The following is a 27,242-nucleotide window of genomic DNA, read 5'->3' as shown; positions in this document are numbered from 1 at the left end:
GTCTGACTAAAGGATTTTCAATTTTGTTTAACTTTTTAAAAACCAAATTTTGTTTTACTGATCTTTTGTATTGTTTTCTTCATTTCAAATTTATTTATTTCTCCTCTAATCTCATTTCTTTTCTTCTACTAATTTCAGTTTGGTCTGCTCCTGCTTTTCTAGTTCTTTAAGCAATGTTAGATTGCTTATTTGAAGTTTTTCTCTTTTTTTGATGTAGGCACTGATAGCTATAAACTTTCCTCTAAGTACTGCTTTTCCTGTATCCCACGGGTGTTGGTATGTTTTGTTTCCATTATTAATTGTTTTAAAATTTTTTCAATTTCTTTCTTCTTTTTTTATTATTATTATACTTTAAGTTTGAGGGTACGTGTGCACAACGTGCAGGTTTGTTACATAGGTATACATTTGCCATGTTGGTTTGCTGCACCCATTAACTTGTCATTTACATTAGGTATTTCTCCTAATGCTATCCGTCCTCCAGCCCCCTGCCCAACAACAGGCCCCAGTGTGTAATGTTCCCCTCCCTGTGTCCATGTGTTCTCATTGTTCAACTCCTACTTATGAGTGAGAACATGCAGTGTTTGGTTTTCTGTCCTTGTGACATTTTGCTGAGAATGATGGTTTCCAGCTTCATCCATGTCCCTGCAAAGGACATGAACTCATCCTTTTATATGGCTGCATAGTATTCCGTGGTGTATATGTGCCACATTTTCTTTATCCAGTCTATTATTGATTGACATTTGGGTTGGTTCCAAGTCTTTGCTATTGAGAATAGTGCCACAATAAATATGCATGTGCATGTGTCTTTATAACAGCATGATTTATAATCCTTTGGGTATATACCTAGTAATGAGATTGCTGGGTCAAATTTCTAGTTCTAGATCCTTGAGGAATTGCCACACTGTCTTCCACAATGGTTGAACTAATTTACACTCCCACAAAGAGTGTAAAAGTGTTCCTATTTCTCCACATTCTTTCCAGAATCTGTTGTTTCCTGACGTTTTAATGACCACCATTCTAATAGGCGTGAGATGGTATCTCATTGTGGTTTTGATTTGTATTTCTATGATGACCAGTGATGATGAAAATTTTTTCATATGTCTATTGGCTGCATAAATGTCTTTTTTGAGAAGTGCCTGTTCATATCCTTTGTCCACTTTTTGATGGGGTTGTTTGATTTTTCTTGTAAATTTGTTGAAGTTCTTTGTAGATTCTGGATATTAGTCCTTTGTCAGAGGATAGGTTGCAAAAATGTTCTCCCATTCTGTAGGTTGCCTGTTTACTCTGATGATGGTTTCTTTTGCTTTGTAGAAGCTCTTTAGTTTAATTACATCCCATTTTTCAATTTTGGCTTTTGTTGCCATTGTTTTTGGTGTTTTAGTCATTAAGTCTTTGCCCATGCCTATGTCCTGAATGGTATTGCGTAGGTTTTCTTCTAGGGTTTTTATGGTTTTAGGTCTTACAGTTAACTCTTTAATCCATCTTGAGTTAATTTTTGTATAAGTTGTAAGGAAGGGATCCAGTTTCAGCTTTCTACTTATGGCTAGCCTGTTTTCCAAGCACCATTTATTAAATAGGGAATCCTTTCCCATTGCTTATTTTTGTCAGGTTTGTCAAATATCAGATGCTTGTAGATGTGTAGTATTATTTCTGAGGCCTCTGTTCTGTTCCATTAGTCTATATATAGTATATATACTATATACCCAGTACCATACTGTTTGGGTTACTGTAAACTTGTAGTATAATTTGAAGTCAGGTAGTGTGATGCCTCCAGCTTTGTTCTTGTTGCTTAGGATTGTGCAGGCTCTTTTTTGGTTCCATATGAAAATTAAAGTGGTTTTTTCCAATTCTGAGGAGAAAGTCAGTCGTAGCTTGATGGGGATAGCATTGAATCTATAAATTACTTTGGGCAGTATGGCCATTTTCACGATATTGATTCTTCCTATCCATGAGTATGGAATGTTCTTCCATTTGTTTGTGTCCTCTTTTATTTCATTGAGCAATGGTTTATAGTTCTCCTTGAAGAGGTCTTTCACATCCCTTGTAAGTTGGATTCCTAGGTATTTTATTCTCTGTAGTAATTGTGAATGGGAGTTCACTCATGATTTGGCTCTCTGTTTGTTTGCTGTTGGTATATTGGAATCCTTGTCATTTTTGCACATTGATTTTTTATCCTGAGACTTTGCTGAAGTTGCTTATCAGCTTAACAAGATTTTGGGCTGAGATGATGGGGTTTTCTAAATATAAAATCATGTCATCTGAAAACAGAGACAAATTGACTCCCTGTTTTCCTAATTGAATACCCTTTATTACTTTCTCTTGACTGATTGCCCTGGCCAGAACTTCCAATACTATTGAATAGGAGTTGTGAGAGGGGGTATCCTTGTCTTGTGCCGGTTTTGAAAGGGAATCTTTCCAGTTTTTGTTCATTCAGATATTGGCTATGGGTTTGTCATAAATAGCTCTTATTTTGAGATACATTCCATCAATACCTAATTTATTGAGAGTTTTTAGCATGAAGGGCTGTTGAATTTTGTCAAAGGCCTTTTCTGCATCTATTGAGATGATCATGTGGTTTTTGTTGTTGGTTCTGTTTATGTGATGGATTACATTTATGGATTTGCGTATGTTGAACCAGCCTTGCATCCCAGGGATGAAGCCGACTTGATCATGGTGGATTAGCTTTTTGATGTGCTGCTGGATTCAGTTTGCCAGTATTTTATTGAGGATTTTTGCATCAATGTTCATCAGGGATATTGGCCTAAAATTCTCTTTTTCTTGTTGTGTCTCTGCCAGTCTTTGGTATCAGGATGATGCTGGCCTCATAAAATGAGTTAGGGAGGATTCCCTCTTTTTCTATTGATTGGAATAGTTTCAGAAGGAATGGTATCAGCTCCTCCTTGTACCTCTGGTAGAATTCATCTCTGAATCCATCTGTTCCTGGACTTTTTTTGGTTGGTAGGCTGAGAATTATTGCCTCAATTTCAGAAACTGTTACCGGTCTATTCAGAGATTCAACTACCTCCTGGTTTAGACTTGGGAGGGTGTATGTGTCCAGGAATTTATCCATTTCTTCTAGATTTTCTAGTTTCTTTGCATAGAGGTGTTTATAATATTCTCTGATCGTAGTTTTTATTTCTGTGGGATAGGTGGTGATATCCTCTTTATCATTTTTTATTGCATCTATTTGATTCTTCTCTCTTTTGTTGTTTATTAGTCTGGCTAACGGTCTATTTTGTTGGTCTTTTCAAAAAAACAGCTTTTGGATTCATTGATTTTTTGAAGGGTTTTTTGTGTCTCTGTCTCCATCAGTTCTTCTCTGATCTTAGTTATTTCTTGTCTTCTGCTAGCTTTTTAATTTGTTTGCTCTTGCTTCTCTAGTTATTTCAATTGTGATGTTAGGGTGTCGATTTTAGATCTTTCCTGCTTTCTCTTGTGGGCATTTAGTGCTATAAATTTCCCTCTACACACTGCTTTAAATGTGTCCTAGAGATTCTGGTACGTTGTGTCTTTGTTCTCATTGGTTTCAAAGAACATCTTTATTTCTGCCTTAATTGTGTTATTTCCTCAGTAGTCATTCAGGAGCAGGTTGTTCAGTTTCCATGTAGTTGCACAGTGTTGAGCGAGTTTCTTAATCCTGAGGTCTAATTGGATTGCACTGTGGTCTGAGAGATAGGTAGTTGTGATTTCTGTTCTTTTACATTTGCTGAGGTGTAGGGTCCAGCCCTACAGGACCAGTGGGTTTTTCTTTTCGTATGTGGAGATGAGTGATCATAGAAATAAAGACACAAGACAAAGAGATAGAAGAAAAGACAGCTGGGCCCGGGGGAACACTACCACCAAGACACAGAGAGCGGTAGTGGCCTCAAATGCCTGGCCATGCTACTATTTATTGTGTACAAGATGAAGAGGCAGAGTAAGGAATGTGAGTCATCTCCAATGATAGGTAAGGTTATGCGAGTCACATGTCCACTGGACAGGCAGCCCTTCCCTATTTGGTAGCTGAGGCAGAGAGAGAGAGGGGACAGCTTACATCATTATTTCTATGCACTTCTTGGAAAGATCAAAGACCTTAATACTTTCACTAATTCTGCTACTGCTATCTAGAAGGTGCAGCTAGGTGTACAGGGCGGAACATGAAAGTGGACTAGGAGCATGACCACTGAAGCACAGCTCACAGGGAGACATTTAGGCCTTAGGATGGCTGCGGGTGGGCCTGATTGATGTCAGGCCTTCCACAAGAGGTGATGGAGCAGAGTGTTCTCTAACTCCCCTGGGGAAAGGGAGACTCCCTTTCCTGGTCTGCTAAGTAACAGGTGCCTTCCCAGGCACTGGCGCTACTGCTAGACCAAAGTCAGCTAAGTAACAGGTGCCTTCCCAGGCACTGGCATTACTGCTAGACCAAGGAGCCCCCTAGTGATCCTGTCCGGGCATGACAGAGGGCTCACACTCACCTTCTGGTCACTTCTCACCATGTCCCTTCAGTTCCTAACTCTGTATAGCCTGGTTTTTCCTAGGTAATAATTATAGAACAGGTAATAATTATAGAACAGAGATTAATATAATAAAGAGTAATGCTACAAACTAATGATTAACAATATTCATATATAATCATGTCTATATTCTATTTCTGGTATAACTATTCTTATTCTAAATTTATTCTTTATCATACTGGAACAGCTTGTGCCTTCAGTCTCTTGCCTCGGCACCTGGGTGGCTTGCCACCCACACTGAGGAATGTTTTACTTCCAATTTTGGGATCACTTTTAGAATAAGTGCGATGTGGTGCTGGGAAGGATGTATATTCTGTTGATTTGGGGTGGAGGGTTCTGTAGATGTCTATTAGGTCTGCTTGGTCCAGAGCTGAGTTCAAGTCCTAGATATCCTTGTTAATTTTCTGTCTCATTGATTTGTCTAATATTGTCAGTGGGGTGTTAAAGTCTCCCACTAATATTGTGTGGGAGTCTAAGTCTCTTTGTAGGTCTCTAAGAACTAACTTTATGAATCTGGGTGCTCCTGTATTGGGTGCATATATATTTAGGTCACTGTTAGCTCTTCCTGTAATTGATCTCTTTACCATTATGTTGGTTTAAAGTCTGTTTTATCAGAGACTAGGATTGCAACCTCTGCTTTAGCATTTCTTGTAATATAGGTGACAGAGTCTCCTCACTTTTGTTTGTCTGAGAAAGTCCTTATCACTCTTTTGCTTATAAAGAAAGGATTTTGGGGTACTGTATTCTTGGTTGGCAGACTTTTTATTTGTTTTAAAATGTTGAATATTTCATTCAACTCATTCTGGCCTGTAAAGTTTTTACAGAGCAAGCCACTGATAGTCTTATGGAAGTTCCCTTGTATGTGAGGATTGTTTTTTCTTGCTGCTTTTAACACTTTCTCTTTTTCTTTAACTTTTGATAATTTAATTATAATGTCTTGGTGTAGGTCTCTTTAGATTCATCTTGTTTGACATCTTTTGGGCCTTCGATATCTGGCTTTCCTTTTACTTTCTCAGGTTTTGGATTTTTTTCTGCCATTATTTCTTTGAATATATTTTCTGTCCCTTCATCTGTCTCTTTTCCTTCTGAAAAATTTATGATGCCCTGTAAGTTTTTTAAGCTATCTTTACTAATATTCCTTCTTTTCTTCTTTGTGCTCCTTAGACTGGATGGTTTCTAGTTACCTGTGTTTGAGTTCACTAATCTTTTCTCTTGAGTGATCTAGTGTGCTTTTGAACCCTTCTATTAATTTTTTCAGTTCAGTTACAGTACTCTTCAAATCTATGATTTCTATTTATTACTTGTAAATACTTTCTATCTCTTTAAGTTTTCAGTTTGCTCTTGCATTGACCACTCTCTTGACTTTGGTGAGCATCTTTATAATGATTATTTTCAATTCCCTGCCAGGTAAATTACATATTTCCATTTCATTATGATTGGTTACTGGAGATTTATATTGTTATTTCGTTTGGATTATATTTCCCTGTTTCTCCTTGACTCTGTTTTAGTTTCTGCACATTAGATAACACAGCTACTTCTCTCAGTCTTGTCAGACTGGCTTTATGTAGGAAACAGATCTTGCCAATTCATCTAGTTCAAGACTTTAAGGTGCCTCTCAAACATATGTGTTTGTACAGATTGCTATCTCTGTTTTTGGTGGCCCTCTGGAGCTTAGAGTATGCCTGATCCTATCAGTACTCTGAGACTAAAACTAATAGGAGCCAGACTCTCTAGATGTAGTTGGAAAGTTTGGGATGTTGGCTGTGTGTTTCAGGTCTTTCTATAATCATGGTGAGGCTAAGCATGAGTCTTTTTGCTCACACTTCCTGCACGAAGCTGAGTAGAGAATTTGTGGAAAATGTCTGTTTTCACATTCAGGCTGTGCCCTCTGATCCTGGGGAGACAGCTGCTAGAAACGTCCCCATTGTACATCTATGTCTTTGTTTTCTATGGTATAGTGCCATTCAGAAATGCATAGCCCCATCTACTCATAGAGCTAGTCCATTAAAGAGAAAATTTTTTCAGTAAAAGAAGTTGTTGCACTTGCTGCATGATCAAACTTTCTAGAAAAAAGCAGGTAGGCCTAGATTTATCACTGGGGTGAGAGAGAGGGAATGCTTATGAAGTGTTGAGCTTTGACTCTAGCTACTGGTGGGCTGTGGTTTGTTTTCTCCACTAGCTTCCTGATGCAAGTTTATTAGAAGCCAGATTATCAAGTAGACACCGAACGTGAGTGTTGTAAATCCCTTCAGAGAGAAAAGGGGAGTTACACATTCCCAACCCCTTTCTGCACTGCCCCCAGAGAATATAGCCCCCGCAAGTGTTTGCACATCCATTTAAAATTACCTCTCTATTCTGTGATCTAGAGAGACTCGTGGATGCCTACTCATTTTGTTCCAGAGCTAAGAAGTTTAGGACTGAGTCCTTTGGGAGGTAGCTGTGCAATTTGGAGCAGTTGCTGCATAACATCTAACAGAAGGAACCAGGGAGCTGCATTTTCAAAGCCCCTTTTCTGTACTACTTCTGGGAAATGAAGCCCATACAAGTGCTTACACATCCATATAAACCTGACACATTTTTGTGGTCTACATATACTCACATATACTTCGTCTTTTTTTGCTTTTGAGCTAGGAGGTTTAGGATGTATTCCCTTAGGTGGGAGCTTTAAAAGTTGGGGCACTCAATGAGGAAATAAACTCCTTCCAGGAGGGATTAAGTTATATGGAATTTTTGCTAGGGTGAGCCATGAGAGCAGACTGAAAAGAACTAGTCTGCTTCTTAGGTTGTTGGTCAGGCTAATGCTTGTCTGTCTCTTTAACATCCCAATGCAAGTTAGTTAGGAGCCAGCCCAACAAGTAGCCATTGGATGAATGGGTTATTAACCACTTCCAAGTAGAAACATGGGGCTTCGTTTCTTAAACTCCTTCTCTGCTCTGCTCCTAGGGGACAAAGTCCCTAGAAGTGCTCATGCTTTCATATCAAGCTGCTACTTTTTTCCTGTGGTCTACAGAGACTCATATGTGTCTAATCTCCTCTGCTCCCAGGGTTCATTATTTAAGGGCCAAATTGTGGAGAGCCTTAGCCAAATGCTACACGTGAGGTACAAACTTTCCACAGAGAAAAGCAGAGTTTGAGGATTTCTTTCTCAGTTGTATGGTACAGTGTCCAGGGTGGGATCTATACCCTAGTGTTCCTCACCTTTTTCTACTTGTTTGGGGTGGATGCTTTCTCAGTTGCCCAATGGGTAGAAGTCTCTCAACTTGTCTATGATGTCCTCTCAGAGGGAATTGATCTAAAAGTAGATGTTTATTTAGCATATCCATGGGTGGAAGAAGAGCAAGAAAATCCACATTTGTCCATGTTGCTGATGTCACTACAATTTTTAGCTTTAATTTTGCTATTTATAAAATTGGTGATAATAATAACTGCCATATAAATTCATAGAATTGCTGTGTCCCAAAAGGTAATGATATAAAAATAATTTCTGAATAATAAAATCACTTTCTTTACAAAGAAATTTATAATTTATAAAGACATTTTCTTTTGCATAATTCCATTAATGTGTAGATTCTGATGATTAATATTATTTCTCCTTCTATCATGAGCCCTTTTGGTAACCTAGTATTGATAATAACAGAATCTCTGAAATCTGAGAATTAGAATAAATCTTGAGTTAGCCTTTTCATTTTCTCTAAGACCCACATAAAGCTTGTCTCTAAAATGTAACTTCAATCTCCATGAGATCAATCAATATTAACTTGAACACTTGTAGACTGCTGAAACTAATGACCTGTCTATATTTAAGGTTTTCTTTACGACAACTGACATCTTTCTTCCTCTAATTCACAGCCATTAATACTATTTTTGCCTTCTGCTGCCATTCAGAAATTCTTTTTCATGACAGAGTAAAGCATTTTCCTTTTATCTGCTGCTTTCTCCTATTCAAACTCTAAAACCCATGTATCTTCACTCTGACTTGTTCCTTCACTATATTGCCCATTTGGGGGAACAGGTCTGTCTCTTGCTCATTAGTAGTCTTCAGGTAAATAGGGCCAATTGTGTGGGTCTTCTTTGGAGCAATCCCCAGTTCTTGATTTAGAAGGGATTTAAACTGAGCCTTGTTTCTTCCCTTTAGAACCCCACAGAACTCTACTTCCCAGGTTATGCCATGAGGGAAAAATTACCGTCATGAAGGAACAAACTCACGTTAAAATAAAAAGAAACTCTCACATTCTTTGATCATAAATACTTCAGTTTTTAGCATTTGTGGCCCTCTTGTGTCCTCCCTCCTCCCACTCTATACATTAGGTCTTCCTGCTCCTACCTCATGCTCACTATTGCCCTTGACCTGTATGCCTCATCCCCTCACCTTCATCCTTATGACTGCACACCTGCTGATAGCCCTTATCTACTGCATGCATTTTGACAATTCTACATAATTGTTTCCATCAGTTCATAAGTGCACAAACATGCCCTTGCCTCACTGATTTTACAGAAAACAAATCAAATCAATCCCTCATAATGCACAGTTATGACTAAGTTCTTTGCTTGTCTTTAAACTTGTTGAAAAAAATATCTGTAATTCTTTCCTCACATTCTTTCCTCAAAATCCACTTAAATCATACTTTATTTAATTCCTATCACTCCACAAATTGTCAGAGTCCAGATAACCAATGAATATATGGTTCTAAATGCATGGTAAATTATCTCCTTTAAATTTCTTACTTGATTTCTCAGCAGCATGTGACAGAATTAATGATTCTTTTCTTTTGGAAACACCCTCTCTTGGTTTCTGGGAACCCTCACTCATCTGGTTTTTCTTTTTATTCTCAGACTCATTTGATATTATTTGCTGCTTCACCACTCAGTGTTAGTGTCCCTGAGGCCTGCCTTGCACTACTTTCTCTATCTAAAATGTAAGTACCATGTGCAAGTCAATGGTTTCCAAATATGTTTCTTCATTCCAAGAATAACTCTGAATTCCAAACTCATACTTAACAGTTGCTAACTTTATATTTCCTCTAGTATGTCTAATCTGTATCTTAAACCTTGACCTTGTTTATCCTTCATTCTTCCCCAATTTTAATCCTTGTTGCTACAAGGCATTGCAATCTACATATTTGCTCCAGCCAAAATTCTAGAAATTGCTTTTATTTATTCTCTAGCCCATCCCTTCATATCCACCATCACTAGATTTTTACTCTACCAATAAAATGTATCCCAAATCCATTCACTTCTCATCCACCTCTCTCCACTCACAGTTTTATCTCCTCACTGTTATTTTTGTCCTAAGTTTATCTTTGTCTTGAGTGACTGCAATAATCTCGCTGAGTTTCCCTGCTCCCACGTTGGCCTCTCTACAATGCATTTTTAATGAGGCATTGAATATAACACTTTAAAATATAAATAAAAACAAAATTGTAAGTATTTTATTTCATTCCACTAGAATATACATTCCAGGAGAGCCAGGGCTTTCTCTCCCATATTCACTGCTATATTCCTGCTCCTAGAATAATAGATGAGAAGTGGTTGATTCTCAGAAAATATCAGTGAATAACTGACTAATGAACATATTTTCAAGAAGAATGTTGTTAGGCAGGCACTGAAAGTATTGTCACTGGAAATATGGGTGAGAGACCAGAATTTTCTACCTTGTCAGCAGGTCTCTAATTCTCTCTCCTGGTTTCTTTATTCCTCTTGTCTCAATCTTTCTGCATCACTATCTCCTTCTGCCTTCTCTGTTTTCCTTCTCTTAGCTCTGTCACTGCTTTAATTAAGTTTTCACTCCATATGCTGCTTGTCTCAGAGGAAAAAACTTGTCTGTAATGTTCATCAGTGGGATGGGCCCCAGGGAGAGTAGCAATGTGTCCCATTAACTGATTTTTAAAATAAAGAATACTTGCCAGAGAACTCAGCATATACGGAATTCTACCAGCAATTGCTTGCTTTTTACAGGGCATGGCTGTGAATTCCCACACTGGCCCAGTCACACCTCTGGCCAGTGTGTCAAAATCTCTCAAAAGCAGAATGCCCAGACCTGAACTCCAGTTCTCCAAGGATTAGTATGCTCTTTTTAATCAAGCAAATACTCTACTCTTAGAGCTTCATTCTCCATAAGATATTCTGGCAAGCTCATCACATTTTTTGACTCATGTGAGCTAAAGTCTCTTTTCCACACATGTTGCCATTATGTGATACCTCACACACATAAATGGTTTAGCAGAGTATATGGTATATAGTGAACACTTAAAATGTGGTATTTTAATAATTATTAATTTTAATTTATTATTACTGAAACAAATAATAACCAATATCCTTTGGACTCTTACCTCCTACTTCCTATTGATTCAATTAACTCTGTTATTATTCCATCTATATTTCTCCATTTTATTCACAAGGATAAATGTTTGTTAAATGGCTTTCTAAATCCAGACATAATATTTTATACCGTCTTCCTAACAATAAGATAATAAAAAAAAAATCCTCCAGGTTTTTTAAATATATTATCTCACTGGAATTAACCCTGGTGCTAGTATAGGAAATGATTTCAACTATGGAACACACCAATTTGGGCGCATTTAAATTTGTAGATCATTGCAAGTGACTAGAAGATTGGGTTCTCAAAAAGAAAATGATCTTCTTTCTTGTCAAATAAATTAAATCTCCACAAATGATATAGAATTATATAATAATAGATGCTTGGAAATAATACAAGACTTGTCTCTCTTTGTAAAATACCCTAACATAAAAATTTTCCCTTTTGGAAATTCCATTCATAATTCAATTTGCAAACTTGCCTTGGCCACCATGAACAGTTAGTATATGTTTTCATTGGATGTCCCCACAAAATTAATGATAGCAATGTTGGTCATTTTTTAAAAATTATCATTCTGCTCTAAAATATTTTATAAAAATGAATTCATCTTGTTGACCTTTACTATTTCTACTTACATAATTTATTCCTGATCTTCTCTATTCCTCCCAACTCTCCTATCCACCCCCATTCTCCTATTAAACACAACCTTGCTGCACTGTTAGTACATTCTCCCTAAAGGGTAAACTACCTAAAACACTCAGAAAATAACTAGAATGAATTCTTTTGAGAAAATGCAAATAAAATATCTGAGTAAGTATTGGTAAAAATAAATAAGACTATAAACAATTGAAAAGGTAGGTTAGAAGAGAGATCTGAGAACAAGGCATTTTAGTATTAAAATAAAATTATGCATAAAGTTTAAATATTTATAATATTTTATTTATTTTTATAGAATGTTTCTTCATTGATTGTTGGTTTTTCCTCAAGCTCTGCTCAAAAGCCTTTATTTCCTTACTCTCCTCAGTTCTCCTAGATAGTTTCTAAGCTTCAATTGCCATTGATACCTAAATAGCTATGCCCCACCCAACAGACATTAATAAGAGGCTTCATGATTCTTCATACAATTATCGAGTCTCCATCTCCCTATATATTCCTCGAGGTGCCACAAATATGCACATGTTCAAACTGGATTCACACTTTCCTCTGTGAACTTGCTCCAGGGTGTCCCAAGTATGTCCTGCTTTCTTCCTGTTGTACATATCTTTGCATTTCCAATCTTTCATCTGGAGATATTCATCTTTGTGTGTGTGTGATTTCTGCTTATTCTTAGGTCCAGAAATAGACAAACGTTCTTCCAGAAAGGCTTTTCCTGACTTAGTTTGTGATATAGTCTTCCTTCAGTGCTTCCAATCAAAAGGCACTGTATCTCAGTTCAGACAAAACTTCTATTTCAATTGCCTATGTACATGTCTATACCACTGAATGGTCTAGCACCTTGTCTGTTTTGTGTCATTTGTGTTTATTTATAAATTAGCATGGTATCTATAAAATAGTAGGCATTCAATAAATAAATCCACTTATTGAACCCTTCTTAAACATTTGCTATGGAACAGACACTCTCTTAGATATCAAAATCATATAAATACTAGTAAGCCTTTTTCTTATTTTCAAGGGCAACTAGGAGAGCATGCTGGTAGTCAAACAATTATACTAAAAGATGAAGTGTTGTAAAAACCATAGGACAGGTACAAACTTAGTGGTGGCAAAGTCGTGATGGGAGAGAAAGCAAGGTTATACCAAGGGTCGGGATTCATAAGAAAAAAGATAGCAGATGGCTGAATGAGGAAGAAGAGATTTTTTTTTAATTCTGTAAAAGAAGTGTTTATGGAACCATTTTATTGAACATCTACTATTTACCAGTTGTTTTGCAGCAGGATATTTTATACACGTGATCTAATTTAACAAATTTGATTAATTTGACTAATCATAACAAATCTATGATGTTATGATAATTCAGTAATTACAGAATTCTTATTCCAAGCTCATTGTTACCATTTATCAAAGAAAAGATAAAATAATTTGCTGGTAAGGTGCTGAGTTTAGAAACCTAGATCTGCTAGCTCCAAATGAAATGCTATATAGTGAGTCCTTAAATGATGAAGGGTTAGAATTGATTATGTATTCAGGTACTGATGTGAGGGCAGATAGAGTTGCCAGTGGGCAAAACAAACAAACAAACAAAAAACTAATTAAGTAAAAGAGTTGAGTTCTTTAGGTTGGAGTATTGTTAAAGAATCTTTTAATGATCCATGTGTCTCTGAATGTAAATTCATCTGCTGTTCAAGATGTGGCATGGTAGATGCTCCAATAATGATGCATATATATCTTGTTAACTAAATAAAACAGGGCCTAGATTATTTTCAAAGACACTACAAAGAGAGCTTTATATGGCATGCTAATATGAAGAAATCATTAAGAAATTTAAGCCTGGAATTGGGCTAAGAAGACCTCATGTGTTTTTGGAAAAATAAATAATAATTTAATATTTAGAAAATAAAATAAATTCTCTAGTGCTAAGCAGTAGCAACATTCTATCAAGATGTAGGATAAATCATGAGTGAGAACAGGGAACCACCACTGTCTCACATAAATCTTTTTAAATAGTACTTACTAGCATTTATTGTGATTTTCTCTTTGCCTATCTATCTACCTAAACCAAACCATAATTTCTTAAGAGAAGCATCTAGATGTAGCACATTCTCCATTTTAACCCAACATCAGAGCAGTTGTGCCACATAGTAATTTTTTGTTAAATATCTATTAAGTAAACATTCAACGTAGTTATGTGAGCAATATTCTAATTCTAGAGGCATCCTTGTGGACATGTGATAGGGAGATTTCCTTCGTCTGCAATTCATATTTCTATGAATTATATGAGTTTCATGCTGAACTGCTATACTAGTTTGAAGGTAGAGTAAGGTTATAACTATTGAATTTGGTTTCAAACAAAAATATTTGTGAGAATCTGCTATTTTCCAGGAATTATTCTATTTGGTTGAGGTATATCAATGAACAAAGTAGACCTAAACCCCTGCCCTGGTACTACCTACAGTTTAAGATAAATCTTTTATTTATCATTTCCTTCCTTCGATGTCTATAAATCCCAGAAGAAAGCAAGCCTCCAATAGTTAGAATTCATCAAACGAATCTCATAAAATATGTATTATTTATTTTATTTTTGCCATACCTTTAACCAAAATAATTTGATTTCTGCCAAATAAAAATAACATTAATAGTAGTTTAAATGGCATTAAAGGACCTACTAACCATAACCTGTCTTCCAAATTAACACATTTATATTTAATAAATTAACTACTTAGCCATATATAATGTAGAATTGTATCTGAAACCATCGTTTTGAGACTTCCTTCAAAATATTCTCATGCTATGGCACTTTTTAAAATCTAGTCTAAGAAACTTGGAAGAAACAGAAGTTTCATTTAAATACAAATGACTGGTGAATTATATGTCATCCAATATCTCTATATCTCACACTTTCTGTTCTTTTGATGGTTTGGAACACAAATACATTTGGAAGAGAGATAGTTTTCTAGTTATGCTGACCAATTTCATGCACTGAAAGGGCATTTTGTATTATCATACGTCTTAAAAATGTTATTGTTTTAGTCACTTTTATCTTGTCATTCAAGTAAAAAAAAAAAAAGAAAGAAACCTGGCTAAGCTTCTATGGAGGACAAAAGTAAGAACAATTGCTGAAACTTATTAGTGAAGTAAGCACAGTGTCTATGAGAAGAATGAACCTCCAAATAGTTCTCGTGTCTAATAAGGAAGTAGTCTCCCTTGGAAAATTATCTATTGCAATTTCAAACACAGGAAAGGCAAACTTCTGTTAAGGATACCATAGGAGGAGTTTGTATTTTGGGAAAGAGAGTGAACTACAGTGTGCTTCTCTAACTCAGCAAGGTGTGGAAGTCAATATAATAGCTTGTCAATAAAACAGATTTTAGGGTTGCAAATTCATCTATCTTTATTTAATATGTCTGGGATATTGAAGTTTTCAAAGTATATTTTGGAGGGTCATGGCCTTGTTGTTTTCTAGAAGAGACTTCAATGGTCACCACCTAGCAAGGAATATAATTACATGGGGTGGAAGTACGACGGGGGCAGCAGTGGGACAGCGGGATTGCGAGGGGGACAGGGCAGGCCGGGGGTGGGGGATAGGGAGAATGGATTCTGAACGAAAAGGACTTTGGAGTGCCAATCTATACTACAATCCAAAAATTGATTTTTTTAAAAAAATTTAGGAACGTTGTTATTAGAGAAAGACTTTCTTCTCTCACAAACGGTAAACGCCTGTCATCATGTATCACCTTGAAATTTCTTTGTAATGTGAACATCCTATAAGATATTATAAACTAGGCGGGGTGTGGTGGCTCACGCCTGTAATCCCAGCACTTTGGGAGGCCGAGGTGGGCAGATCACGAGGTCAGGAGATCGAGACCAGCCTGGCCAATATGGTGAAACCCCGTCTCTACTAAAAATACAAAAATTAGCCGGGTGTGGTGGCATGGGCCTGTAGTCTCAGCTACTTGGGAGCCTGAGGCAGGAGAATCACTTGAGCCTGGGAGGTGGAGGTTGCAGTGAGCCGAGACTGCCCCACTGTACTCCAGCCTGGGCAATGGAGTGAGACTCTGCCTCAAAAAAAAAAAGATATTATAAACTATATCACCGCCATTTGTAGTAAATTAACTTCACCACTTGTAAACGTTAGCTGTTTCGATTGGACATTTAACACAGCAGCTTTGGGACAATCTGGGAAATCAAATAATGATGTTCAGCCTCCTGCTGCTACTCACTTGGCAGATAGAAATCACTTATCTTAGTCTAGACAGAAAAGCTATCTGCCCTGCTATTGCATCCAGAGGATGTGGAGGTAAACAGATTTCTCTACCAGAAGTTCCTTTTTCTGCCACAGTTTATTTAAATATAGGAATTTAAAGACAAATCAAACAGCAATGCTACTGTGTCATGTTAAAGAAAGAGTTTTCGATTATGCATCCACAAATACAGAGATTTCAGTAGGAAATCATGTCAAATAATCTTTCTCCTAGCATCTTATACCTTTAAAATTAATCAGTACAAATATTCTGGAAGGTCTCTAATGTTCCATTCAATCCTTTGCAAAAATTGTGATGAGTTGTGGTTGGGGAAAGAATTTAGAAAATCTGAAAGAGAGCCTGTTATTCTATGGAGAACCCCTCCAAAATCCAACAACATCATTAAATAAATCTTAATTTAAGAATAGTACAACATAGTAAATTTTAAATCCTAAAGAAACAGAATAGAATATAAATGCAATATACTGTGTTTATATTCATTCACATGTACATGCATGCAAAAAAATAAATTTGCATCCTTAGATATTTAATTTTCCATAGACATCTACCCATGTGAACTTTATTTTATTTTTCTTGTTTTCATTTTTCTTTCTCTACTTTAACTGGCATAAATACAAAAAGAAAAGAGCAGCCTGAAGATACGGAACAACAGTTTCTGCTTTGGAGGCAAAGTGTAGATAACCCAGGTCAAATAATTTATTTCCTCAATTGACTCACTCAATTCACAAAAAGGAAATTTATACTGGAAGATAAAATAGAAAAAAAAATTAATAGCCTGTTATACATTATTAGCTGTTCAAGAGCAAAATGAAATATAACGTTTCCCAGGTTCTCAATTAAAGCTTTTTGAAAATTGATAACATTAAAAATATTAGGAGTAATATTTATTATTTTCATAATTTAATTTATAATTTGTATTTGAAATTCTGAAAATATAAAAGAAGTCTATTCTTTTTTGACTCTTTAAAGTGAAATGAATCAAATAAAAATATCAGGATTTAATACACAATATAGCAGCAGTCCCCAGCCTTTTTGGCACCACGGGCCAGTTTTGTGGAGGCAATTTTTTCAGGATGGGCGGCAGCGGGGGTAACATTTCGGGATGAAACTGTTCCATCTCAGATCATCAGGCATTAGATTCTCATAAGGACCACACCACCTAGATTCCTTACATGCACAATTCACAATAGGGTTCCTGTTCCTACAAGATCTAATGCCATCACTCATCTGACAGCAGATGGAGCTCAGGCAATAATGTAATGCTCGCTGGCAGGCCCCTGACCTCCTGCTGTGTGGCTCTGTTCCTAACAGACCATGGACTGGTACCAGTCCCCGTCCTGGGGGTTTGGGACTCCGCAATACAATAATATATCTTTCCACTTAGAGCTCTCCTAGCTTCAAGCAAAAATCATAAATAAGGCAACATCAAAAAATAAAGAAAAGGTGCTGATTATTTGAAGATATTAAATAATTAAATATTTAGGAACCATACAAAATGTGAATATTCACACTGATTTTTAAATATTTTTTATATTTTATTGCAGTTAGGATTTTCAGAAATAGCAATAATAAATTTCCCTCATTATCATACAGAACCACAGAGCTATAGGGAAAGGGTTGTAGACAGACTGGAATTTTTCCTGCATTATGAAACATTTCAGGAATTGTTCATTAAAAGGGAGAGTTTGCTTTGACTCATTAGTAATTCTTCTCTACATAAAGATTTCTTTTATAATAATAATCCCCATACTGGTAATATGATTTATGTTTTCACAGGTCAGTTGACAGTGAATGTCTTTGTACATACAAATATGATTCATAAACTTGATTTTTGTAGTTAAAATTTCACAGTCAAAGGCCAATCAACTCAGGAAAGCTATCCTGAATATATGCAGGCATTTTGGATTAATCCCTGCCATATATCAGTGTGAAATTACTGTAAGAGGGCCAATTTTTATTTTGAAAGGAGTCAGAAATTTTGCTAGAAATGGGTGTCTTCTTGAACAGTTTATACCTATCATTGCGGACAGTCTGCATATTGGTACTGAACATTTTAATGACACAGTGGTGAAGTGAACCTTGGTGGAAGACATGGAGTTCAGAGTAGAGAGCAAAGAATGGACGGAGAGGAGCAGGTAGCACTCCCTTGTAGCTTTCCAAGCTTGTCATTTGGCCACCCATCTATCCTGCATAGTTCCTTGAAGTCTGTCTGTCAGTTTGAAGTTGTTGTTTGAGAATTGTTCTCTGAAGTATCCCAAGATTCTGAAGATAAAAATAGCAGCTTTTATCCATATGGATAAGAAAACTGGACTAACTGAAGGACATAAGATATGAAAATCCAAACTGAAAAATACTATATTTTTATCTTTCTTGATGTTTTCTTAGTTGTGTGTCTGATCTAAAATATTATTAAAGAAAAAGAACATAGGATCCTAAATATTTTGTTAGAGAGGAGGCAAAAAGCTAGAATAAAATGCAAGTAGGTTAAATTTCTAAAAATGCACATTGGTTAGGTAAAACCTTAAATGTTACACAAATTAAGAATAGACTCTTACACTTCCAAGCATTAGTTTTATATTTGATTCACATTGAGTTGTGTTTTTATGACATCAATATTTTTATGATCATTAAAAAAGACTTTTTAGTTATATAACATATTTAATTAATATTTTTAAATAATTTATTATGTACTTTCTACTCTGGCTGATAGACATGAGTTTCTAAAAACATAATAAAATAGTTTGTACTACCCAAAAACTGTTCAGGCAGTTTAAAATAATTGATGTTGAGGTAAGTAAACATGGCAGTATTTTAAATAATAAGCATTACGTATTTATTTAATTATAGAATAGGACAACATAAATAAAACATGGCATAATAATTAAGTATAATAAGGTTGACTCATATAGCATGTTGTAATAAGGAAATATTTGGTAAACATGGGGCCAGTCTATATCTATGCAAATAAACACAACTTTATATTAACATAAGCACTATTATGTTTAAGTATAATTGGCATAATTTGCCTCAAATCTTGCACCAATAAGTAATTTTGAATGAAGATAAATTACTATGAAATAACTGGTCCATACCTACTAGACATACCTAGGCCTGAGTTCCAGTGATAGAGAAAATGGAGGTTATAGCTATACTGCATCTGAATAGAAACATACATTTATACAATGAAAGTATACTCAGAAATATCACACTGAGAGTTCCAGCCAAGATGGTGGGTTGAACACATACTTCTAATTCTTCTCCTTCAAATTTATCTTGACACTTCAGAAAATAATTATTTGTTAACTGAATAACACTATGCAGCCATAGAGACAGAAAAAAAAAAAAACTCATTAGTGTACCAGCGTGCTTTTTAGAAATGTGAACTCTAAGGCCAATGACAACTACCAAAAGAGTTGAAATTGGTTACCTCTGGGAGAAAAAAAAGATAAAATTGAGAAGATTTCTGCCATTTTTTCCCTTGTAATATGTCTTTTGTTTTAACAAAATTATTTAGTTTTTAATTGTGTGACTATATGTTCAATAAACATAAAATATTAAAATATTATTTTTTTAAAAAAAACTTCTAACTAAGCCACTCCCCCTGCAAATGGGCAAAAGACCTGAATTAGGCAATTGAGAATAGAAGATACCTGAATGACTAATGAATATATGGATAGGAGCTCAAAACCATTAATCATCAAGAAAATGTCATTTCAATTAATAATACATTACTATGACACCCTCAGTAGGAATAACAACAGTAACAATGACAAGACAGAGCCAACTATTGGTAAAAATGTTGAACAAACTGAATTTTCATACACAGTCATGAAGAATGCAAATTGGTACCACCGCTTTAAAAAGCTATTGGCAGTGTCTCCCGAAGCTGAGAATCTGAACATTTGCATAACTTAAGACCTAGTAATTCCTTTCTTATGTAATTCCCAGGAAAAGTAAAGCTCATTTATATTCATATGCCCATAAAAAGACATACTCTGGAATCTTCATGGCAACACTATTAACAATTACCTACAATTTTAAACTATATGAATGCAAATTAAAAGTAGAATGGAAAATGCATGTTGATATATTCATACAGTTAAATGCTATGCAATAATGAGAATGAAAGAGCTAAAATTACATGAAATAATAAAATGGTTAGATCTCACAAAGAATGTTGAGGGGAACAAGACAATCGTAGAAAATGCACACTATAAGATTCCATTTATATAAACTTAAAACAAAACCCAACACAACTGATATATGGTGTCATCATTCCGAATAGTGTTTGGTTTCTATTTAGTGGACTGTGACAGAATTGGAGATCTGGGTAAGGTTAATAAGGGTGCCAGTAGTGTTCAGTTTCTTCAATTTGGATACTGATTATGTGAGTGTGTGTGCCAGGTTTGTGAAAATCCATAAAATTATGATAACATGCTTTTGTATCTGTTAATTTTCAAGATAGAGTTAAACATAATTAATAAAAAAGAATATTTCCTAGAACTAAAGATATGTATGCATCCTCAAAAAAAAAAAATCCAACTTATTGACAAGAAGGCTGAATGCTTATTTGAGTAAAGATCTGAAAGACAAAAAAGAGTCAGTTTCAAGAGCTTTCCGTTCAGAAATGTCAAATATGAAGGTGCTATGGTAGAATTATGACTAGCACGTTTTGAGGAACAAAAAGAGGTTAGCTTTAGATGACAGAATGAGAGTGCTCAGAGAGAGATCAGATTGTAAAAGACCTTTGTCTTTTTTGTTTTGTTATGGAGTTTAAATTGTATTTATCATGAGGGTTTAACACAAGGTAGTAATATAACTGATTCACTTTTTTAAAAGATCACCTTGAGTGTTCAGAAGAGAACACATGAGAGGATAAAAGATGGAGATTATTTAGAAAACTATTATATTAGTCTCTGTGAAAAAAGATGATTATGACTTGAAAATGGGTTTTAGCAATTGAAATGAATAAAAGTGAATAGAATCTGGATATATATTAGAGGTAAAAATGCTAATATCTGCTTACATAGTTGACTGCTTGAATAAGATAAAGACAATTTAAGAATTTCTCACAATAGTTAATTTGAGCAGTTACATTGATGGTGCCTTTAATGAATTGTGTTGTATTGGGGTATCAACAATTCAGAGTAGCAAGGAGCAAGATGTTTTGTTTATGTTGAGTTTGAGACCTTCAGATAGATTCTTACAGCTTCCTGCTTAAATACTTAAAATAATAACCAGCTATTTTATAGCAGTGATAAAATCATCCCATGGTTAGATGAAAACTGCATCCTCAGATCATTCACTACACCTTTAGAGGAGGTCCAGTGCCTTTTCTAAAACTTGCTTGATTTAGAGATTGTGGATTCTGTAAATGATGCATCCATGCAGTCAATATTTCTTTCAGTCATCTGTGTTTTTAACATTCATTAATTCAACATGATGCTGGTATCCATGTTGGCTTTAGTCTATCATCAACTGTTTGTAAATATACCTTGTGCCAAATTCCTCTTCCCTTAGGAGAGGTTGCTTATGGAAGCTTGCTTGGGCCCTCCTGTAGGTATTTCTGTTAACAGTTTGCCCTGCTTGTCTTCCAGATTCACATGCCTGTAACTGAATTCAAGGAAAACAAAGCCTGGGGCTAGGTGAGCATACCTGATAACTCTTACCCAATAAACCATTGCTGTGACTGCAAAAATCTTTATAATAATCTATAAATCTCTTTCAATTGCTAGAAAAATGAATAATTCCTTACTATAATAATTTAGGGTCTCTAATGATCTTACTTTTCATTGAAAGGTGATAACATTTTCATCAATGAAGTAGGTTTATATACACTTCTGTCTAGTACACCAGGGACTGGGTAAGATAAGCCAAATTTCATTCCTCTTCAATGAAAATAATTTATTTATCAACAAGGTTAGAATTTCATTCGCTAACATTAGGTCTTCAAACGTCTTTGCATATTCAGGTGTTAGTGAATTCTATTAGTAGAAGAATGGGTTCAACAATCACTTCACATGGGACTTTTTATAGGATCTAGGATCGGGGAGCCAGTCTATTTTCATTAACTAAATTTATGAATATGGATTGTCTGACTTCCCAGTCCACTGACATTAACTGCAAATGTGCTGTAACATTAAATGACTTTGTTTCCTTTCTATAGGGACCCCAAATCGCGTCCATGGACGTTCTCTCTCTCTCTCTCTCTCTCTCTCTCTCTCTCTCTCTCTCTCTCTCTCTCTCTCTCTATAGCATAGTACCAAGAGTGAGGAACTTTCTTTTTCTTTTTTTTTCTTTTTTTTTTTTTTGAGACGGAGTTTCACTCTTGTTACCCAGGCTGGAGTGCAATAGCACAATCTCGGCTCACTGCAACCTCTGCCTCCCAGGTTCAAGCGATTCTCCTGCCTCAGCCTCCCGAGCAGCTGGAATTACAGACATGTGTCACCACGCCTGGCTAATTTTGTATTTTCAGTAGAGACGGGATTTCTCCATGTTGGTCTGGCTGGTCTCGAACTCCTGACCTCAGGTGATCCGCCCACCTCGGCCTCCCAAAGTGCTGGGATTACAGGCGTGAGCCACCGCGCCCGGCCGGAACTTTATTTTTCATAACTGATAGTACATTTTCTATGGAAAATAGTTACTCCGCTTTGAAATTTTCTTTATTTCTGCAAGTTGAGATCTGTCATTTCAACTTCTATAAAATTACAAGAAGAATTCTTTTTTTAAATTAGCCTAGCTGTGTGTTTTTATCTTATCCTTTGTGTCTATTCCTAAATCTTCAATCATAATTTGATGTAATCTTAAAATGCTGACCTGATATGAGTACATACAGAGAAGTGGCATAGGAAAACTTTAATATGGTAAATCACTGTGAAACACTATGGATTTGGGTTTGCAACACTGAATAAATAGATTATTCAAATACTAGTTCATTCCTTACAGTAGAAATTATTTTAGTTAATCCATTCATGCTTTAAATAATCATTTTACACTGGCTTTTCTTTAAATGTTGAATGAATTAGACACTATTATGTTTTAGTATGTTGTTAGAGTTTAATTTATAATTTTATCCTCAAACAAACATGTTTTGTGGCAAAAGTAGGTAAGTAAGATAAAAGTAAAAAGATGGTTTGACTCCTGTCTTTATTTAAGTCAGACCAAAGAATTCCATAAGGCATGGTGCAAGGAAGTGGCTAAATACTCAATAGCTAAATTATAGAGTTTTATGTGTTATACTAGAGGACTTACACACACACACATATACACATGTTCACGCATCTATTTCCTTGAGTGAAAATTTCCGTTTTCTAAACAGTTCTGCTAGCCTTCTGTTTCTACATTCTAACTAAACCAGCAGAACTAATTAGAAAATGGTAAAGAATGCCAACATGGATTTTCAAATTTCTGAGTAATGTTTTGAAAAGTAAAAAGCACTTCTGTTAGAAGCAGTTGCTGTTGTGTGTAGAGATATATTGTATGACAACATGACCTGAAATTGAACTTGCAATGCCTTTTTTAAGCATAAAACATATCAGGGAGAATCACTTTGGTAAGTTCCCCAAGCAATCAAATAAAATATTTCTAATTAGTAATTGTTTTGAATATGAAAATTTTCTCCTCTATTTCTCTCTCTCCCATCCCCTCCCTGGAAACCAAATCTTCAGGAAACTTGAATAGCTGGACCATGAAGCCCTAATAAAATAGCTTCTATCCATCTGTTGACCAGTAAAGTACATAGGAGGAAATGAATTACCTGCTTTAAGCCACTGTTTGAAAACCCAAACATAATTTGATGGAAAATGCCACACTCAACTTCAGGTTATCAGGGTTCATCAGCTTGCAGACATGACTTTATTAAAAATTAGGAGTCTGAATGATGTATTTTGTTATCATATCTAAACATCCTGGCTACTACTCTGTATCAGATTCCCATAAAAGTACAGAAAACTAAATGATAGATTACTATGTGGCTTATTTTATTTCTAACAGAAAAATTCAATTTCTGAGTAATGCATTTGTGGAAGTTGGCCTTGACAAATGTACAAATTAAAGATAGAAAATGAGCAATATATGTGGTAATTTAATTTATTACTTTTGTAAGCTACATCTGATACATGTCAAGGAAAGGAAATTATTTTAATGTGTACAATGTGGTGTCAGCTAGTTCATATCTGATTTTGGTAAAGTGGAAAGAAACCAAGAGGGAAAAACACAGGCTAGAATTATATGGATTAGGAACAGAATTGCCTAAAGTATTAGAGGGTAGTTTGGATATTTGATTAGCTTTACTTTTCTTAATTATTTATGAGTATTAATGCAAATAAGTCATGTGATCTTCTAGGACTAAAATCCCATTAGTCCAGGACTATATATTTTCTATGTAGTGAACAGCTAGCAAAGACCTCACATTACTGTCTTAATCTCTATTAACCTGTGGCTGGTTGTGACCATTTTTGGCTATGCTTCCCAATTCAAGTTACTTAAATTTTATTGTTTCTGAGAAGTCAGAAGCTCTTGATTTTTGTTTCTCTCAAAGTAACTATTTTCCCTTTTAAGTTAAGTAGCTTTAATAAACTATGTTTAAGTTTAAAAAATTTATTTTAAGTCACCCAAGGTATATATTGATATTGGCTTTTTACCGCTGTTGGGCACAGAAGTTTTTTTTATTATTATTAGTTTAGGAGACTACTCTGATCTCTGGACATGAAGGCGTGATCTCATGAGATTTAAGGCCTGCAAAATTTTGTGTCCCAATGAAATAATCATGTCTCCTCATAGCAAACAGATATTATCCCTGTCTGATTTGTCTCAGGGTGTTGTGGGTGGATTCATTTGGCTAATGGACCAAATCTGAGGCTGAGTCTACATACCTCAGATGTTAGGAAAAACTAGGGTCCCAAGCTCAAATATAAAAGTGTGTCCCAAGGAGTATGTTCTTTTCAGAATGAGAGTTTCTTGAGGGAAAAAAACTTGTCTGTTTCAGCTTTGCATTTTCAGTTCTCAGAACAATGTATGGCACATGTTTCAGGGTGAATGACCACATGATTAATTGAATGAATGGATTGATTTATAAACCCATCAATGGCAAAGATCATGAAGAACCCAAATGTTTTCTTGGTGCCTGCTTTTCTACTGGCATTTTGTTTGCTTACCTTTGTGTTTCCCTTGATCCTTCCACAACTTTATGAATTTATTTAGTCATCCCTATTCACATTTTATAAAGGATAAAACTGAGTCTAAGGGATAAGAAGTGAGGTACCCACTAAAAGAAAAGCAGTAAACATTGGAACTCCAATTAAAGTACAACATTCCACCTTCAGAATATAAATTTCATAGTAGTAACATAGTATATTAGTACAGTATATAATAACTATATGTATGAATAGGCTCTCACAGGTGAGAGCCAAATGTGTCAATAAATACAAACATACTTTGAGTATTAAAATCCCTATAAAAATGTTATAATGCCTTCCCACCTCTGTATTCTGATATGTGAGGGCACTCATCAGGATTTGTTTTCTTTATCTTACTCTATTATAGTATTTGGCATCCATTAAGAAAATACAAAATACCAAATGGTCTCCAGCTTTTATATAATTAAACTTTCCTGAACACACAGAGCCAGCTCGAGTCATCTCCTCATCTGATCTTCCATAATTACATACACTACTTATATTTATTTATCATATACTGCTTTAAAAAAAATTATTCATGGGTTCTTGGAAAGCAGGGAGAATACTTCTCATAGACCTGTGCCTCTCATCAAACTTTGCCTGGATTTCCAGAAAATAAGTGCTCTTAAATTGTTGTCACTCAAGATACTTTTTAAAGACTCAATAATACAGCTTTTTCATATTTTTATTAAAAATAAAAAGTGTCTATTCAGATGTATATATTTTGTCCTTTCTTTTTTTTATTTTGAAGCAAAGAACAAAACAGCTGAAATAGCTGTGGAACTCAGTGTTTAATAAAACTGATTATAAATGTGAGCTAGTACTAAGCATTTTTATGCCAAGTAAAAATATTCTTTAGAAAGTTCTCAAGTAAGCATATTAGGCACATCACAGAAATATATTGCTGCTTTGGACTGTTTCACATCATTTTCAAACTTTTCCTGAGCACCTAATTGTATATGATGCTGTATTACATTATGTTACAGACAACTGCACATATCCAATCCCAGCACAGCTAGAGTTGGGACAACTTTGAAACTAGTATTCACCAAAGAATATTGATTCTGATAATTTGTAACATCTTACAAATCTTATTAGTACAAGTGCTAGAAGAGTATGTCCCTTTAATAAGCTCGAGGCAGAAGTGCAAAAAAATATTTTCTTTCTTTTACATTATAAGACATCCAACTTTTTATTATATATAAAAACTTGGTAAATACCAAGACACATCCTCTTTTCCACTATTAACCTAGTCAGAATGAAAATAATGGAAGATACTTTTGCACAACTAAAGACAATATAGTATTGCTTCCTGGGAAGAAGTGGCAAGGGTACTATGTTTTGTTTAATACTGTTACAGCCTATAAAAATCTACTAGGCCAAAGGGATGAATTCTTGCCTAAGGAGAGGCAATGTCCCACAGACATTCTATAGCCCGGTTTGGTTGCTAAGGAAAATGCCCCCATAAAACTAACTCTGCAGGCATTTCAAATTAGAAATGTCATCAGCCACTACCTTAATGCCAGCACACTTTAACTTAATGAAATGCATTTCATGCTGTTATCACAAAACGCACTTGCTAGAAGCAATATGGTACTAATACAAATAGTGTTAACAAACAGAAATGTCTTGTTCATTGATTTAAAAAATAACCATATTCTCTATGTGCATAAACACATATCAGTACCAAATTCAATTTAGCTTCTCACTAGAATTCATGCTTGTACACTCTTTTCTTGTACTTTCATTTATTGTTTCATGCAGTGGTTTTGCAGGTAACCTGTATCCTGGATAAAACATGAATTCCATCTGTGAGGTTTTGAGATAAACATGTGTCAATGGATCCCTGAGAAGAACCAGGTGATGACACAATAGGATCAGAATTATAACTTAAAACTGGCAAGTAATTTGTGCCCCATAAACTACTTTCATGTTTACAGGCATTTGAATTTGATAAGGATTTGCTATTAATCATCACCACTTACTTATTTATAATACAAGGTCCTTGATGTCAAGGAATCTTGTTATTTGTATAGCACCAGCACAAAGTGCCACTACAGCACGATAGGTATCGTCATATGAATGAGAAAGAGGCACTGTATGCATGCTGAATTCTCTGCATCACTAAAGCCTCCATGTGAGAGTCTGAACAGATGATGGTGAATGGAATCTGAAAAACTCCAGTGCTTCTAAGCTGACAATTAGGATGGATAGCATTGCTATAATTTAAAGAAATACTTAGGTCTCACCTTGAATTATCAAAAGAAGTGACTCTCCAGCTTCCACATGATGGACAGGTGAGTATAAACCTAGAAAGATGCCAGACTATGTCACTTGC

The 27,242-nt window shown here is 35.3% G+C and overlaps 1 long non-coding RNA gene across 1 annotated transcript in view; it reads right to left on the bottom strand.

The window, feature by feature from the left end:
* Positions 1–15,787: 15,787 nt before the first annotated feature.
* LOC105375630 (uncharacterized) overlaps positions 15,788–27,242 on the bottom strand; it is a 559,756-nt gene continuing 548,301 nt past the window's right edge. Inside the window, exons 7-8 of the long non-coding RNA XR_001745653.3 lie at positions 27,154–27,213; positions 15,788–17,990 (exon numbers count right to left, since the gene is read on the bottom strand). This is a non-coding gene — a long non-coding RNA (uncharacterized LOC105375630). The remainder of the gene's footprint in view (positions 17,991–27,153; positions 27,214–27,242) is intronic.

The sequence above is a fragment of the Homo sapiens genome, chromosome 8 (genome assembly GCF_000001405.40).
Source record: "Homo sapiens chromosome 8, GRCh38.p14 Primary Assembly".
Classification (NCBI taxonomy): Eukaryota; Metazoa; Chordata; class Mammalia; order Primates; family Hominidae; genus Homo; species Homo sapiens.
The sequence above is the reverse complement of the archived record's forward strand: the minus strand, read 5'-3'. Positions and strand labels throughout refer to the sequence as shown.